The sequence below is a fragment of the Homo sapiens genome, chromosome 8 (genome assembly GCF_000001405.40).
Source record: "Homo sapiens chromosome 8, GRCh38.p14 Primary Assembly".
Lineage (NCBI taxonomy): Eukaryota > Metazoa > Chordata > Mammalia > Primates > Hominidae > Homo > Homo sapiens.
The window spans coordinates 58,194,072-58,211,537 of NC_000008.11; the positions used below are offsets into that span (position 1 = coordinate 58,194,072).

A 17,466-nucleotide genomic window follows, 5' to 3' on the forward strand; every position below is an offset into this window, starting at 1 on the left:
AATTTTTTTTAACTTTTTTTCCTCTCCCCATCCCCCTTTTAAAAAAAATTTGGTTGTGACGGATTCAATTGACATGTAAAACACAAAATCTCAGAATCAAATGGTTGTTTAGGTTATTTATAATTTTAACCTATGCTGGTTTAGGTCATTCCTCTGCACTCGGGTTCCAGTGCTTATATCTGTCACCAGTTCATGTGCTGAATATTAATAATGGATCTTTCTCTGACATCAGCCTGGAAATTCCCTGAGGATGAGGGCCAACTTTATTTACTTTAGTGGACATCTTGCATAAGTTCACATTATATAAATTCAACTACTATTGCTGAACTGAACCAAATGCTGATTCCTTTATATTTAATAACTATAGAATAATTGGAATTGGGGAGAAAGAATGCCTACTATCAATATACCTGGTAACCTGTCAATGCAGATAAGACAACATGTCCAAACTTCCAAAACATAGCTCAGCTAATATTGCAGAATGGAATAACCTAAAGGAATAGAGAATGAGAGATCCACGAGGCTCAATGTGATTCTAACTTCTTCAAAGTAGGTTTTTTTTTCAACCTGCATGCAATTTATTTCCTAAGATACTTTCTCATCATACATTATATAAACATGATGATATAAAAACAATTCTTGAGGCAATATTAGGAAACACTAAAGTTAGGGTCTAACTTAAACGGACTGTCAAAAGCAAAGGTATAAAATGATGGTGTCCATAGGTAACCCCCGTTTATGTCCCTCTTGCTCTGCGATGCTTCAGACATTGTGAACTATGGACTTTCATCACGTGTTTCTGCTTAAATGGAAGCCACATTGCTGCCCTGTACAAAAGAATAACTTTTAGCAGATTTTATTTGTAAAAAAAAAAAAATCCCCTCTACACTGCTTAACACAATGTGATAGTAGTGGCACTATATCAGTAGTGTATTAACCATTGGATAAGACATAGTATCAAAAATGAATTCCACACTGTATTCTCCTTGGTATAATTTAAAATATACAGAAGTCCTCCAGCATTATGGGACAGATAAAACGCATTTCAGGACTTCTAGACAAAAGTGGTATCTGAAAGCTGTGTTTTGTTTTTTTTTTTTAATTTTATTGTTATTATACTTTAAGTTTTAGGGTACATGTGCACAACGTGCAGGTTTGTTACATATGTATACATGTGCCATGTTGGTGTGCTGCACCCATTAACTCATCATTTAGCATTAGGTATATCTCCCAGTGCTATCCCTCCCCCCTCCCCCCACCCCACAACAGTCCCCGGTGTGTGATGTTCCCCTTCCTGTGTCCATGTGTTCTCATTGTTCAATTCCCACCTATGAATGAGAACATGCGGTGTTTGGTTTTTTGTCCTTGCGATAGTTTGCTGAGAATGATGGTTTCCAGTTTCATCCATGTCCCTACAAAGGACATGAACTCATCATTTTTTATGAAAGCTGTGTTCTTTTAAAGAACAGGGACAAATAGATTATTTACATGTCAAAAAAGAAAATAATCCTCAGGCTACCTGCAGGGACGGAAGGGCCAATGTGACCAAATATCACTAAAAAGTATATATGGTAAATACTTGTCTCTGCTTATGATATTAAGAATGGGTACATTCTCTCCAGGCTTACAGTACATGGCATTTACCTCCTAACAGTAGTAGAACTCTTGCCTTTCTGGCTGCTGTATATACAAAGTTGCATTCTCAGTGACAATTTGTTTTCCTTCCTCTAGGCAATGAAGCCCCCAACTATGTAGCTCATAAAATCTTCACAAGGATAATAGTAACACTTAGACTTGTATAATAGAACCAAATACTTTAAGAGATTTATTGATCATGAATCAGTTTGTTTCTACCACATTTCTACGGATTAGATCTTGTGGTATTATTTCATTTTTATAGCTGAGATATCACTGATGATGAACAGGTTGTTCTGGTTTTCCAAAGGGAAGAGGAGAGAGAGCAGGATGAGGCATTTCTCAGTGAGGAATCTTACCATGTGGTCAGATTGGTTGGAAGTCTGTTTATTATTGAACTTCTTTATGTCAAAGTTAGTGAGTAATCAAGGAATTTCCAACCCTGCACAATGTACTGAATCATTCTGAAGCAATCACTTATCCACAGGGCAAAATATGATACTCATTATTTAATTGGCAGAAACCCTAGGGGGCTTTTCATCAAGGAGATCCTATAAAGATTTTTTTCTGAGTTAAGGCAGTACCTTAAATTTCATTTTTGTTTTTAATGTCAGTCGGTGGCTTTTATCTCCATGACAGTACTATAAATGTGACAGTTCATAACATTTAGGTAAGGAAAAGCAAGCATGATTTGGGCTGAATAAGAAGTGGATTCAAATGAGTCACTGAGGAAGACCGTAGAATCCCTTTCATTCTGCAGTACCTGAGCTGCTGTGGATGTGATCTCAGAAAGTAGGTGTGATGGTTAATTGGACGCATCAACCTGGAGGGTGTTTTGGATGACATTAACCTTTAAATTGGTGAGCTCTGAGTAAGCAGATCACCCTCCATGATGTGGGTGGTCCTCATCCAATCAGTAGAAAGCCTGAACAGAACAAAAAGACTAGCTTCCCTGAGTAAGAGGGAACCCTCCAGCAGACTGCCTTCATTTATTTACATCTTATCATAAGGAGAAGAGTCCTATTGATTCTGTTTCTTTTGAGAACCCTGCTAATGCAGTAGGATCAACAGACAGTCCAACTGTACCAGTTGTTCCTCAATAGATTTATATAACTCTGGACCTTACATTTGTTGATCTCTAAGACCACGCCAAAGAATGACTTCTCTGATAGATGTGCTTTGGCATCTCCATTTTGGCTTACTTGCCAGGCTTTGAATATTTTTCACAATCCAGTGAAGGGGCAGGCCTGGGTGGTCATGACTGTACTAGGTAACCCAACCCACATGGCTACAACTTACTGAACCTGAGATTAATAATTGACTAGGAGAGTTGCAGAATGGCTGATCTGTAGGTGAGGCTGAGCCAAAAAACACTTGATCTTAAAGATTTAAACTAAGATACTCTGAAATAGGGAGGGTAGGGAGGCATTGCTGACTAAATCAAGTACTTGCAAGAGGATTTGCTGCCATCTTCTAAACCCACAGGAAGCCAAACACAGAGCACCTGGGAAGTGGGGAGTAAGAGAGAGCAGAGCATGCTCATGGTGAGCTAAGGTGGAAGGGCTTCAGGCCTGCAGGAGGGAGGATAATGCATTCCTGCGCCAAGGACCACCATGACTGAGAAAGGTGCTAGGTGCCCAAGATACTGGCAAAGATCCACCCCTGCCAACACATGGTCGATTTATCTCCTAGCTCCAGCTACACCCTTATTTTACCTTGTATACCTTCTTTCCTGGGCTTTAGTTTCCTCCTCTGAAAAATAAACAGATAACTTTCGTGTGTAAAGTTCTAGAGAACCCAACAAATTTTTTAAATTTAATCTAATTTTTTATAAAGACAGGGCCTTGCTATGTTGCCCAGGCTGTTCTCGAACACCTTGCCTCAAGTGAGCCCTTGCCCCCAACCTCAGCCTCCCAAAGTGCTCAGATTACAGGCATGAGCTACCATGGGCAACCCCAGCAGTTTTTAAATTGGTCATATGAAATAGGGATTGTTTAATGGTGGATTCTGTGTTCATTTTATCGGGCTCTGTATTCTATTATTCTTATCTGTGGCAACAATTGAGTTTTTCTTGAGGGAAGTAATTTTCAACTGTTTTGTTTTTGTTTTTGTTTTTTGTATCAGGGCAAACTTTGTTAAAAGGAAGTCTTACATGGAGGACTTAAACAAAACAGATAAAAGCTGAGTGGATCTGATCAGAGTGGCTGGGGCTTGGAGCTTCACCCTATGGCCTTTCCCAGAACCCTTCGTTCCCACATGCTCCACATCCTCAGCTCTGCAGACTCCAGCTTGAAAGCCTTCACCCTTGAAAAACAACCAAGATGCATGAGGAAGAGACAGTCAAATAAAGTTAAAAACTGCAGGAGCAGCTGAAGACCAGCAGGATTGCAGAGATCCACCATCTGGAAGTACTTCCTGCCTTGGCTTGCTGAAATCCAGCAAAGAGCACAGGCAAGAACCTGGAGGTGCAGAGGCTGAGGAGAGGCAACCGCAAAACTGGAACCAAAGGGGAATGGGCTTTGTGGGGAAAATAGCAGGAGGGAGCAGCTGCACGATGCGGTGTTCCTGTGTCCCTGGCTGCAAACGACATAAGAGAAAATAAAAGAGTTAGGGCCTAGCAAGACAGGCCAACATTCAAATTCAGGAAATACAGAGAACACTACAAAGATACTCCTCGAGAGGAGCAACCCCAAGACACATAATTGTCAGATTCTCGAAGGCTGAAATGAAGGAAAAAATGTTAAGGGCAGCCAGAGAGCAAGGTCGGGTTACCCACAAAGGGAAGCCCATCAGACTAACAGCAGATGCCTGGGCAGAAACCCTACAAGCCAGAAGAGAGTGGGGGCCAATATTCAACATTCTTTTTTTTTAAATTATTATACTTTAAGTTCTAGGGTACATGTGCACAACGTGCAGGTTTGTTACATACATACACATGTGCCATGTTGGTGTCCTGTACCTGTTAACTCATCATTTACATTAGGTATATCTCCTAATGCTATCCCTCCCCTCTCCCCCCACCCCATGACAGGCCCCAGTGTGTGATGTTCCCCACCCTGTGTCCAAGTGTTCTCATTGTTCAATTCCCACCTATGAGTGAGAACATGCAGTATTTGGTTTTCCATCCTTGCCAGAGTTTGCTCAGAATGATGGTCTCCAGCTTCATCTTGTCCCTACAAAGGACATGAACTCATCCTTTTTAATGGCTGCATAGTATTCCATGGTGTATATGTGCCACATTTTCTTAATCCAGTCTATCACTGATGGACCTGTGGGTTGGTTCCAAGTCTTTGCTATTGTGTATAGTGCCGCAATAAACATACATGTGCATGTGTCTTTATAGCAGCATGATTTATAATCCTTTGGGTATATACCCAGTAATGGGATGGCTGGGTCAAATGGTATTTCTAGTTCTAGATCCTTAAGGAATTGTTACACTGTCTTCCACAATGGTTGAAGTAGTTTACAGTCCCACCAACAGTGTAAAAGAGTTCCTATTTCTCCACATCCTCTCCAGCACCTGTTGTTTCCTGACTTTTTAATGATCGCTATTCTAACTGGCGTGAGATGGTATCTCACTGTGGTTTTGATTTGCATTTCTCTGATGGCCAGTGATGATGAGCATTTTTTCATGTGTCTGTTGGCTGTATAAATGTCTTCTTTTGGGAAGTGTCTGTTCATATCCTTTGCCCACTTTTTGATGGGGTCATTTGATTTTTTCTTGTAAATTTGTTTAAGTTCTTTGTAGATTCTGGATATTAGCCCTTTGTCAGATGGGTAGATTGTAAAAATATTCTCCCATTCTGTAGGTTGCCTGTTCACTCTGATGGTAATTTCTTTTGCTGTGCAGAAGCTCTTTAGTTTAATTAGATCCCATTTGCCAATTTTGGCTTTTGTTGCCATTGCTTTTGGTGTTTTAGTCATGGAGTCCTTGCCCATGCCTATGTCCTGAATGGTATCGCCTAGGTTTTCTTCTAGGGTTCTTATGGTTTTAAGTCTAACATTTAAGTCTTTAATCCATCTGGAATTAATTTTTGTATAAGGTGTAAGGAAGGGATTCAGTTTCAGCTTTCCACATATGACTAGCCAGTTTTCCCAGCACCATTTATTAAATAGGGAATCCTTTCCCCATTTCTTGTTTTTCTCAGGCTTGTCAAAGATCAGATGGTTGTAGATGTGTGGTATTATTTCCGAGGGCTCTGTTATGCTCCATTGGTCTATATTTCTGTTTTGGTACCAGTACCATGCCGTTTTGGTTACTGTAGCCTTGTAGTATACTTTGAAGTCAGGTAGCATGATGCCTCCAGCTTTGTTCTTTTGGCTTAGGATTGTCTTGGCAATGTGGGCTGTTTTTTGGTTCCATATGAACTTTAAAGTAGTTTTTTCCAATCCTGTGAAGAAAGTCATTGGTAGCTTGATGGGGATGGCATCTATAAATTACCTTGGGCAGTATGGCAAGGTATGGCCATTTTTATGATATTGATTCTTCCTATCCATGAGCATGGAATGTTCTTCCATTTGTTTGTGCCCTGTCTTATTGCCTTGAGAAGTGGTTTGTAGTTCTCCTTGAAGAGGTCCTTCACATTCCTCGTAAGTTGGATTCCTGGGTATTTTATTCTCTTTGAAGCAGTTGTGAATGGGAATTCACTCGTGATTTGGCTCTCTGTTTATCTGTTACTGGTGTATAAGAATGCTTGTGATTTTTGCACATTGATTTTGTATCCTGAGACTTTGCTGAAGTTGCTTATCAGCTTAAGGAGATTTTGGGCTGAGACGATGGGGTTTTCTAAATATAGACCAAGCAAAAAAGAGAGAAGACTCAAATTATAAAAATTGTAAATGAAAGATGGAATATCACTACCGACCTTACAGAAACCAAAAGGATAGCCTAAGGGAATACTATAAACAATTGTATGCCAACGAATTAGATACCCTACATAAAAACAGAAATACCTAGAAAGATACAAACTAAACATTTGGTAGAGTTCACCAGTGAAGCTATCTAGTCTTTGGCTTTTTTTGTAGGAAGTTTTAAATGATCAGTTCAATCTCTACTTGTTATAAGTCTATTTATATTTTTTATGATTTAAATAAACTTCTGTAAAGAGGAATTAACATCAATTCTTCACAAACTCTTCCTAAAAATAGAAAAGGAGGAAACTTTTTCCATCTTATTTATCCTGATAGCAAAAGGAGACAAATACAGCACCAGAAAAGAAAACTGCAGGCCAATATCCCTAATGAACATAAACACAAAAATCCTCAAAAAACAGCAAAAAGAAAAAAAAAACCTAACAAACTGAACAACTTTGTATAAAAATAATAATACAACATGACCAATTGAGATTTACCCAGGAAGATAAGTAAAGTTGAGTCACTTAATCAGTATAACACATCATATTGTCAGAATAAAGAACGATACCCACACAATCAACCCAATAGATAAGAAAAACACATTTAACAAAATCCAACATCCTTCATGAGAAAAATATTCAGCTAGAATTGCAGGGAACTTCTTCAACTTGATAAGGGGCATCAGTGAAAAACGCACAGCTAACATAATGCTTATTAGTGAAAAGACTGAAAGTGCTGCCGTAAGATCAGGACAACCAAGAATGTCTACTTGTACTACTTCTTTTCAGCATTACTGGAAGTTCTAGCCAGGGTAATTAGGCAGGAAAAAGAAAAATAATGCATCCAGGTGGTAAAAGAGGTGAAACTACCTCTAGTTTTAGATGACTTTATTTTGCATTTAGAAAATCCCACGAACCCACAAAAAAACCATTAGAGCTATTAAAAAAATTTAGCAAGATTGTAGCATAAAAGATAAGTATACAAAAATTAACTGTATTTCTATATACTAATGATGAGCAATCTGAAAATGACATTCAAACAATTTCATTTATACTGGCATCCAAAATAATGAAATACTTAAGGATTAATTTAACAAAAGAAGTCCAATTTTTATCTTGAAAACCACTAGACATCATTAAAATACATTAAGAAATATCTTAATAAGTGAAAATGCATCTGCATATATGGGTTGGAAGAGTTAATATTGTTAAAATGCAGTACTCCCCAAATTTATTTACAGATTCAACTGAATCTATATCAAAATTTCACTGGATTTTTTTTTTTGCAAAAATTAACAAGATGCTCCTAGAATTCACATGGAAATGTGAAGAACCATGAATTGCCAAAATAATCTTGAAAAAGAAGAACAAAATTGAAGGACTCACATTTCCCATTTTCAAAACTAACTACAAAGCCATAGTAGTCAAGACACTGGAACTGGCACAGAATAGATGTATAAATCAATGGTATAAAAATGTAAATCAAAACAGTGATGAAATACTACCTCACACCCACTAGGATGGCTATAATAAAAAAGACAGGCAATAAAAATGTTGGTGAAGATGTGGCAATGTAAATAGTGCACCACTTTGGAAAACCGTCTGGCAGTTGCTCGTGTGGTTAAATATAGAGTTATCATATTGTCTAACAACTTCTTTCCTAGGTGTATACCCAAGAGAATTGAAAATATATGTCCATACAAACACTCGTACGTGAGTCTTCAAGCAGCAGCCTTTTAAATAACATCCAAAAGTGGAAATTACCAAGCAAGGCAAAATGTTTATCAACTGATGAATGGAAAAACAAAACATGGCACATCCATATAATGTAATATAAAGTGTAGCACATCCATATGATGTCATATAAATATAGTTCAGCCATAAAAAATGAATGAGGTACTGATTCATGCTACAACACAAATGAACTTTGAAAACATTATGCTAAGTGAATGAAACCAGAAACAGGAGACCACATATTGTATGATTCTATTTATAGGAATGTCCAGAATAGGCAAATCCATAGAAACAGAAAGAAGACCCCTGGTTGCCAGCGGCTGAGAGAAAAAGGGAATGTGCAGGGGCTACTAGTGGGTGTGTTTATTTTGAGAATAATGAAAATGTTCTGAAATTAGTGGTAATTATTGCACAACTTTATGAATACACTAAAAATCACAGAAGTAGACATGTTGAAGAGGTGAGTTTTATTGTAAGAGTAATTTTTCCTTTTAAAAAGAAAAGTCAAAGAAACTATCTTGGACTATTCACTTAAATGACCTGAGGCAAGAATTTTTAAAAAATGTATTTCTGCTCAGTGAGTGTGACAGTTTTATGTGTCATCTTGGCTGGGTTAAGGGATACACAGATAGTTGGTAAAACACCATTTCTGAGTGTGCCTGTGAGGAAGTTTCTGGAAGAGATTAGCATCTGAATCAGTGGACTTAGTAAAAACCCACCCTCAGCCATGTGGGTGGGCACCACCTAATGGGCTGAGACCCTGGATAGAACAAAGAAGCAGATTAACTTTCGCTTCTGCAGCTGAGACACCCATCTTCTCCTTCCCTCGCACATGAGAGCTCCAGGTTTGAAGGCCTTCAGGCTCTGGGACTTATGCCCAATGGCCCCCCATTTCCTCAGGCCTTTTGCCTCAGACTGAGAGTGACACCATTGGCTCTCCGGCTTCTCAGGCCTTCAGACTCGGACTGAATCACACCTCTGGCTCTCCTGGTGCCCCAGCTCACAGAAGGTATACTGTGGGACTTGGCCTCCATAACCACTTGAGAAAATTCCCATCTTAAATCCCCTCTGATATGTCTAGGAGTCCTAATGGTTCTGTTTCTCTGGAGAACCCTGAGCAATACGGTTACTATTTCTTCTTACTGTTGTCCAGAATGTTTAGAGTCCTCTTTCCTTCTCACCTAGATTTCCTGATGATAGCCTGTATCCCTTCTGTTTTAGAATGACTGACCCTGTTCCTTGAGGCTGTGGAGGATTCTCAGTGATTCCACTGGTCAAATGATGTGAGACACAGGGGAAGACCTATGAAAGCCTGCTGGTGCTAAGACATTGAGCTAAATGTCTTAAGTGGTGAATAGTTCGAACAGAGAAGACAGGAACAGACTGCACAGGACAAGCCCATCCAAATCAGAGGTGATGTAGAAGTGGTGACGGTTCCCCTCCTAGTCATGAAGGCTCTCACCCTGGAAGTGGACTGTGAAGTGCTCAATGAGGAGAAGGAGTTTCGCATACCCACCTAGATCTCCATCTCCCCATGTTCATAAGCAGTTGCCATCACCTGATTGTTGTAGTACTGGGGATGCCATAACATAGATAAAACCTGCTAAGATTCTGTGAGTCAGTCCTGGGTTATCCCAGTACACTGGAACCACAGCTACTGGAGATGTGGCCCTAGCATTACAGATAAACAAACTACAACAACAAAAAATGGCCTTATAGAGATTTTAGTTCCTATAACCAACTAATTATATTTCAGATTTTTATATATGGATATCTGTAATATTCTGGGGAAGAAATATAAAGACAGAATTCACCATGTCTCCTCGGGACTCTGTGATGATCTCTGCAAGAAACAGTGCAAAGACAATTTTTATTTGCTTTAAAAACTAAATGCCTTTTTTATGAAGTATAGTTTTAAAATACTACATATTTTGTACTAATAGTACTAAAAATCATGGCAAATTTTTTTTCTCTGTTTTTAAAAAATGTTTTGTATGTATGTATTTATTTATTTTAACTTTTATTTTAGGTTCGGGGGTATATGTGAAGGTTTATTACATAGTTTAACTCATGTCACGGGGGTCTGTTGTACAGATTATTTTCATAATCCAGGTATTAAGGCCAGAACCCAATATATATCTTTTCCACTTCTCTCTCTCCTCCCACCATCCACCCTCCGCCCTTAAGTAGATACCAGTGTATGTCATTTCTTTCTTTGTGTTCACAAGTTCTTATTATTTAGCTCCCACTTATAAGTGAGGACACGTGGTATTTGACTTTCTATTCCTGTATTAGTTTGCTAAGAATAATAGCCTCCAATTTCATCCATGTTTCCACAAGATATGATCTTATTGTTTTTAATGGCTGCATAGTATTCCATGGTGTATATATACCACATTTTCTTTATCCAATCTGTCATTGATGGACATCTAGGTTGATTCCATGTCTTTGCTATTGTAAATAGTGCTGCAATGAACATTCACATGCATGTGTTTTATGGTAAAATGATTTATATTCCTCTGAGTATATACCTAGTAATAAGATTGCTGGGTCAAATGGTAGTTCTGCTTTTAGTTCTATTGAGGAATCACCATACTGCTTTCCACAATAGTTGAATTAATTTACACTCCCACCGACAGTGTAAAAGTGCTCCTTTTTCTCTGCAACCTTGCCAGCATTTGTTATTTTTTGACTTTTTAATAATAACCATTCTGACTGGTGTGAGATGCTATCTCATTATAGTTTTTATTTGCATTTCTCTAATAATCAGTGATGTTGAGCATTTTTCCATATGATTGTTGGTCTGTCTTTGTTTGTTTGTTTGTTTTTTGAGACAGAGTTTCCCTCTTCTTGCCCAGGCTGGAGTGCAATGGCGCAATTTTGGCTCAGTGCAAACTCTGCCTCCCAGATTCAAGCGATTCTCTTGCCTCAGTCTCCTGAGTAGCTGGGATTACAGGCAAGAGCCACCACACCCAGCTAATTTTGTATTTCTAGTAGAGATAGGGTTTCACCATGTTGGTCAAGCTGGTCTCAAACTCCTGACCTCAGGTTATCCACCCACCTCAGCCTCCCAAAGTGCTGGGATTACAGGTGTGAGCCACCACGCCCAGCTATGTCTTCTTTTGAGAAGTGTCTGTTTATGTCCTTTGCCCACTTTTTAATGGGGTTGATTGGTTTTTTTCTTGTAAATTTGTTTAAATTCCATATAGATGCTGAATATTAGACCTTTGTCAGATGCATAGCTTGCAAATCTTTTCTCCCATTCTGTAGGTTGTCTGTTTACTCTGTTGATAGTTTCTTTTGCTGTGCAGAAGCTCCTTAGGTTAATTAGATTCTACTTGTCAATTTTTGCTTTTGTTGCGATTGCTTTTGGTGTCTTTGTCATGAAATCTTTGCCTGTTCAACATCCAGGATGGCATTGCCTAGGTTGTCGTCCAGGGTTTTTATAGTTTTGGGTTTTAACATTTAAGTTTTTAATGTATCTTGACTTGATTGTTGTATATGGTGTAAGGAAAGGGTCCAGCTTCAATCTTCTCCATATTGCTAGCCAGTTATTGGAGCACCATTTATTGAATAGAGAGTCTTTTCCTTATCACTTGTTCTGTCAGGTTTGTCAAAGATCATACATGTGTGGCCTTATTTCTGGCCTCTGTACTCTGTTTCATTGGTCTATGTGCCTGTTTTTGTATCAGTACCATGCTGTTTTGTTTACTGTAACCCCAGAGTATAGTTTGAGGTTGGGTAATGTGATGCCTCCAGCTTTGTTCTTTTTGCTTAGGATTGCCTTGGCTATTCAGGCTCTTTTTGGGTTCCATATGAATTTTAAAATAGATTTTTCTAGTTCTGTGAAGAACTAGTTTGACAGGAATAGCAGTGAATCTGTAAATTGCTTTGGGCGGTGTGGCCATTTAATCATATTGATTTTTTTCTATCTATTAGCATGGGATGTTTTTTCATTTGTTTGTGTCTTCTCTGATTTCTTTGAGCAGTGTTTTGTAATTCTCATTGTAGAGATCTTTCACCTCTCTGGTTAGCTGTATTTCTAGGTATTTTATTCTTTTCTTGTGGCAATTGTGAATGAGGTTGCCTTTTTTATTTGGCTCTTGGCTTGGCTGTTGTTAATGTATAGGAATGTTAGTGATTTTTGTACATTGATTTTGTAACCTGAAACCTTGCTGAAGTTCTTTATCAACTGAAGGAGATTTTGGGCTGAGATTATGGGACTTTCTAGATGTAGAATCATGTTATCTGCAGAGATAGTTTGATTTCCTGTCTTCCTATTTGAATGCCCTTTATTTCATTCTCTTGCCTGATTGCTCTGACTAGGTCTTACAATACTATGTTGAATAGGAGTGCTGAGAAAGGGTATCCTTGTCTTATGTTTTGTATGTATATATTTATTTATTTTGGTTTTCAAGAGGAATTCTTCTAGCTTTTGCCAATTCAGTATAATATTGCCTGTGGGTTTGTCATAGATAGCTGTTATTATTTTGAGGTATGTTTCTTCAATACCCAGTTTATTGAGAGTTTTTAACATAAAGTAGTGTTGAATTTTATTGAAAGGCTTTTTCTGTGTCTATTAAGATAATCATGTGGTTTTTGTCTTTAGTTCTGTTTAGGTGATGAATCACATTTGTATGTTGAACCAACCTTGCTTCCCAGGGATGACACCTACCTGAACATAATGAATTAACTTTTTAATGTGCTACTGGATTCGGTTTGCAAGTATTTTGTTGAAGATTTTTGCATTGATATTCATTGAAGATATTGGCCTGAGGTTTTCTTTTTTTGTGTCTCTGCCAGGTTTTGGTATCAGGATGAGGCTGGCCTCATAGAATGAGTTGGGGAGTAGTCCCTCCTCCTCAATTTTTTGGAATGGTTTCAGTAGGAATGGCACCAGGTCTTCTTTGTACATCTGGTAGAATTCAGCTGCAAATCCATCAGATCCTGGGGTTTTCTTGGTTGGTAGGCTATTTATTATTTTATTTTATTTTTTTGGTTTGGGGGGGGTAGGCTATTTATTACTGATTCAATTTCAGAGCTCATTACTGGTCTGTTCAGGGAATCAGTTTCTTTCTGGTTCAGTCTTGGGAAATTGTATGTGTCCAGGAATTCATTCACCTCCTCTAGGTTTTCTAGTTTGTGTGCATAGATGTGTTCCTAGCAGTTTCTGATACTTATTTTTATTTCTGTGGGATCCATGGTAACATTTCCTTTGTCATTTCTAATTGTGTTTATTTGGATCTTTTCTCTTTTCTTTCTTATTAGTCTAGCCAGTGGCCTCTCTTAATTTTTTCAAAAAACCAACTCCAGGATTTGTTGATCTTTTAAATGGCTTTTTGTGTCTTGGTTTCCTTCAATTCAGCTTAGATTTTGGTTACTTCTTGTCTTCTGCTAGCATTGGGGTTGATTTGTTCTTGCTTCTCTAATTCTTTCAGTTGTGATGTTAGGTTGTTAATTTGAGATCTTTCTAAATTTTTGATGTGAGCATTTAGTGCTATGAATTTCCCTTTTAACACTGCCTTAGCTGTGTCCTGGAGATTCTGGTATGTTGTGTCTTTGTTCTCATTCGTTGCAAAAAATGTTTTGATTTCTGCCTTAATTTCATTATTTATCCAAAAGTCATTTAGGAGCATGTTTTTAATTTCCATGTAATTGCATGGTTTTGAGCAATTTTCTTAGTCTCGACTTCTATTTTTTATTGCACTGTAGTCTGAGAGTGTGTTTGGTATGATTTCAGTTATTTGGCATTTGCTGAGGATTGTTTTATGTTCAATTACGTAGTTGATTTTAGAATATATGGCAAAATTTTTGAAATACGAATTGAGAAATTAATCCATGAAAGGGGGAAGAGAGGGACAAACTTTTTTTAAAGCAAAATAAAATTATTTGTGCAGCCCATGCATTATTTAACATTGCTATGTCTTTACTTATATTAGAATAGTTGTTACCCACATTGGGAGTGTTGGGATTTCCTAGGCCAGAAAATATAATAATACTGCTATTTAGCTTCACATTCTAACTATCAACTATTTTACATAATTTGTCCAAGGAACAAAGAGAGGAGGTACAAATGGGATTTCATCAGGTCAGAAGCCTGGAAGGAATGGATAGAAAGGGTGTTTTTGTCTAAACCTGAGCTTTACATATTGTATGAAATAGCTGACTTGGTGTTGCAGGCCTGGCCAGGTAAGATGCAAATCTATCACAAACAGTTTCCAGGACGAAGAAGATGAAATTAGTGTATTACAACAAGAGAGAAGGGATAGAAAAGAAAGGAAAAAAATTTTTGAAAAGAGGAGAATCTATAAATAAGAAAGAAAATGGGAACATGAGACAGACTGCAGGATCCGGGAGGACCAGGTGACATATGTTAAAATATTTAAAAGATTTAAATCAAAATAATAAATTGTAAATAAAATTTGTTCTAGCCTCCTGTTTTGACAAGTATTCCTTCATAACAACCTGGAAGGCCAGACCAAATTAGAAGTTTTGTGCCTCTTGGAGTCTGCAATGAGATTTGCCCCTGTGGGAGAGCCTGGGAGCCTGCATCCCTCCACCTCTCTCTTCTCACTCTGTCTTCATCCCAAGTGCAAGGGGCCTCCTGCATGTGCCTGTGGATATCTCAGACCAAATAGTCCATATCCCTGCAAACAGTCACCACTCAGCCATCCTGAGGGTATAGGTTACATTTATCCTTGGGAGCATGGTTTCAATGAAGAGACCTGTGCACGCCATGGAACTCGGGTTGAGCAGAGAAAGCCAGGGTCCCAGGTACCTGAATGTGGTTTAGAAAGTTCTAGAAGGGTGCACAGGATCTGAGTTGACATGTCTACTCTCCCCATTAATTCTTTCCCCCAAAAGAAGGCCAAAGCAAGACCCTGTAAAGCACAAAGCCCAGAGCAGGTAATGCTGTGGTCTGCATCAGAGGATGATGCTGACAAGAGAGTTCTGTCAGAGACAAAAGTCTTTTACTGATGGTTTATGGAGCAGATAAGGAAGCAAGAAATCTAATTGAGATAAACAGAATAGTGAAGACAGTAAGACTTGGTTTGCTGCAAGGCAACTTGGAATTCAATTAAAACATTCTACAAAAGAAAAAGTAGTAAAAAGCTAGAAGGAAGTGGAAGGAATATAAACCCAGGAGAGGAGACAATTGTAGAGAACATTCCAGAAAACGTAATTCATCATACTCAAAAGCATTCACAAGATAGAGCCCAAGTTAAAACTGGATTAAGAAGACATAAAATATAGGATAAAGATATTTAGCAGATGGAATTCTGATAAATGGTTTTTTGTTTGTTTTTAGTGTAGTCTAGAAACATTTAACACTCAAAACATTTAGATTTTGTCAGTACAATGATGAGGTGATATGGAAAGTAGGCTACAGGGTGTCCATAGCTGGGACTATAAGAGGAAAGCTGGGAAAGGGAAAACTTTCCAGCCTTCATATTTGTGAAGCTGGGTGGGGCTAGGGGGTGAAATAAGCCCGGTTACAATTTGTCTTAGAACAGTTATGACTATTACTTAATTTATTTTTCTTTCCAACTTTTATTTTAGGTTTAGGAGGTACATGTGCAAGTTTGTTACATGGGTAAATTGGGTGTAGTGGAGGTTTGCTGTACAGATGATTTCATCACCCAGGTAATAAGCATAGAGCCTGAGAGGTAGGTTTACAATCCTCACCCTCCTCTCACCTTCCACCCTCAAGTAAGCCCTGGTGTCTATTGTTCCTGCCTTTGTGTTACGTATACTCAATGTTTAGCTCCCACTTATAAGTGGGAATATGTGGCATTTGATTTTCTGTTCCTACTTTAATTTGCTTAGGATAATGGCACCCAGCTCTATCCTCGTTACTGCAAAGGACATGATCTCATTCATTTTTATGGCTGTGCAGTATTCTACGGAGTATATGTACCATATTTTCTTTATCCAGTCCACCATTGGTGGATATTTAGGTTGGTTTCATGTCTTTGCTATTGTGAATGACTATTACTTTAAGAAGCACTAGGAATAAACCTGTATTTTTGCTCTTGGGTTTATTCCTCTTCTTCCAATATGGATATAAAGGACAATTCTATTTAAATATTTTTCAATTATACTGAACCCTGAAGAATTAAAAGTGATGTTTATAAAAAATACTTAGCTATAAAATGCCTAACCATTTATGATTAAAATTTTTCTCATTAAACAGAGCATGGGGTCTATCTTACTTAGAAAATCGTTTTTGCTGTTAATGGAAAATTTCTTTTGTAAAAAGTCATTTTCTAGCCAACTTTGTTAATAAAATACAATAAATTACTCTTTTATATTTAATTGTTACTATGTGGTTTATTATTTTAAACCTTAAATTCTGTTAAATTTGAGACAAATATATGCTTGCTTTGAGGATAGAGATTTAATTGGCTAGTGATTTAATTGATGACATTTAAAGTACAGGAAAGAGAGTATAAAATTTGTATGCAAAAACAGAGACTAGAAAATTTCCTCTTTTTATTGCAACTGGATATTCTACATGAGAAAAAAATTAAACTGGGATTTAGAGACTCTTATATTGTAGAAGAGAGAGCTTTCCCAATTTTACTTTAATTACCTTCAAATTTTCATTTGTTTTCTAAATTAATCAATAAGCCTTTTTGTCTTTCATTTATTGTTGTCATATCTTTTGAACACAATATCTTCCTTCATGTCAGATCAAACATAAACCAAGAAAATGAGTTTCTGTAACAAATTACAATTATATTTTCTAAATTTTCTAGAACATTAATATTCATAAGGTACTCAATTCAACAACCTATGTGAGTTCATGTTTAAATGATAGAAGTACTGTATTACCTGGTAATCAGGCCTCTGATTTTTTCAGACTTTCCCAAATATTGAATCCATCCTCTACTTTGTGTGTCTATGAATACTAACCATGTACTGTGCTGCTAGATTTTGTCGGTACCTTTCAGTAGAAACAAAGAAGCCTGTGAAACTACAGATGTTTTAATATCCAATTTTAATAGATATGTTGCCATCAAGTTTTAGGAAGTTTTCAACTCTTTTCAGTTCACCACCAATTTACAAATTACCATAGCTAGTATTTTCTGATCACTTTTCCATCTGCTGCATACTATTCTCAGCTCATTACATATATTAACACATGCAATCTTCACAAGAACCATATGAGGTAGGCATTATTATGATCCCTACTTAAGAAATGGGAGGGGATTCAAAATGGCTGATTAGATGCATCTCTTAT

The 17,466-nt window shown here is 37.6% G+C and overlaps 1 long non-coding RNA gene across 1 annotated transcript in view, besides 1 other annotated feature; it reads right to left on the reverse strand.

Moving 5' to 3' along the window:
• Positions 1–17,466, reverse strand: part of LOC107986945 (uncharacterized) — a 52,355-nt gene that overhangs the window by 2,419 nt on the left and 32,470 nt on the right. The window lies entirely within an intron of this gene.
• Positions 1,851–3,050: an enhancer, noted in NCBI's record as "BRD4-independent group 4 enhancer chr8:59108481-59109680 (GRCh37/hg19 assembly coordinates)". NCBI's record gives its function as "activates an origin of replication core promoter dependent on BRD2, P300/CBP, MED14 and CDK7 cofactors, and independent of BRD4, by STARR-seq in HCT116 cells {active_cell/tissue: HCT116}" and the evidence as "EXISTENCE:reporter gene assay evidence [ECO:0000049][PMID:35650434]".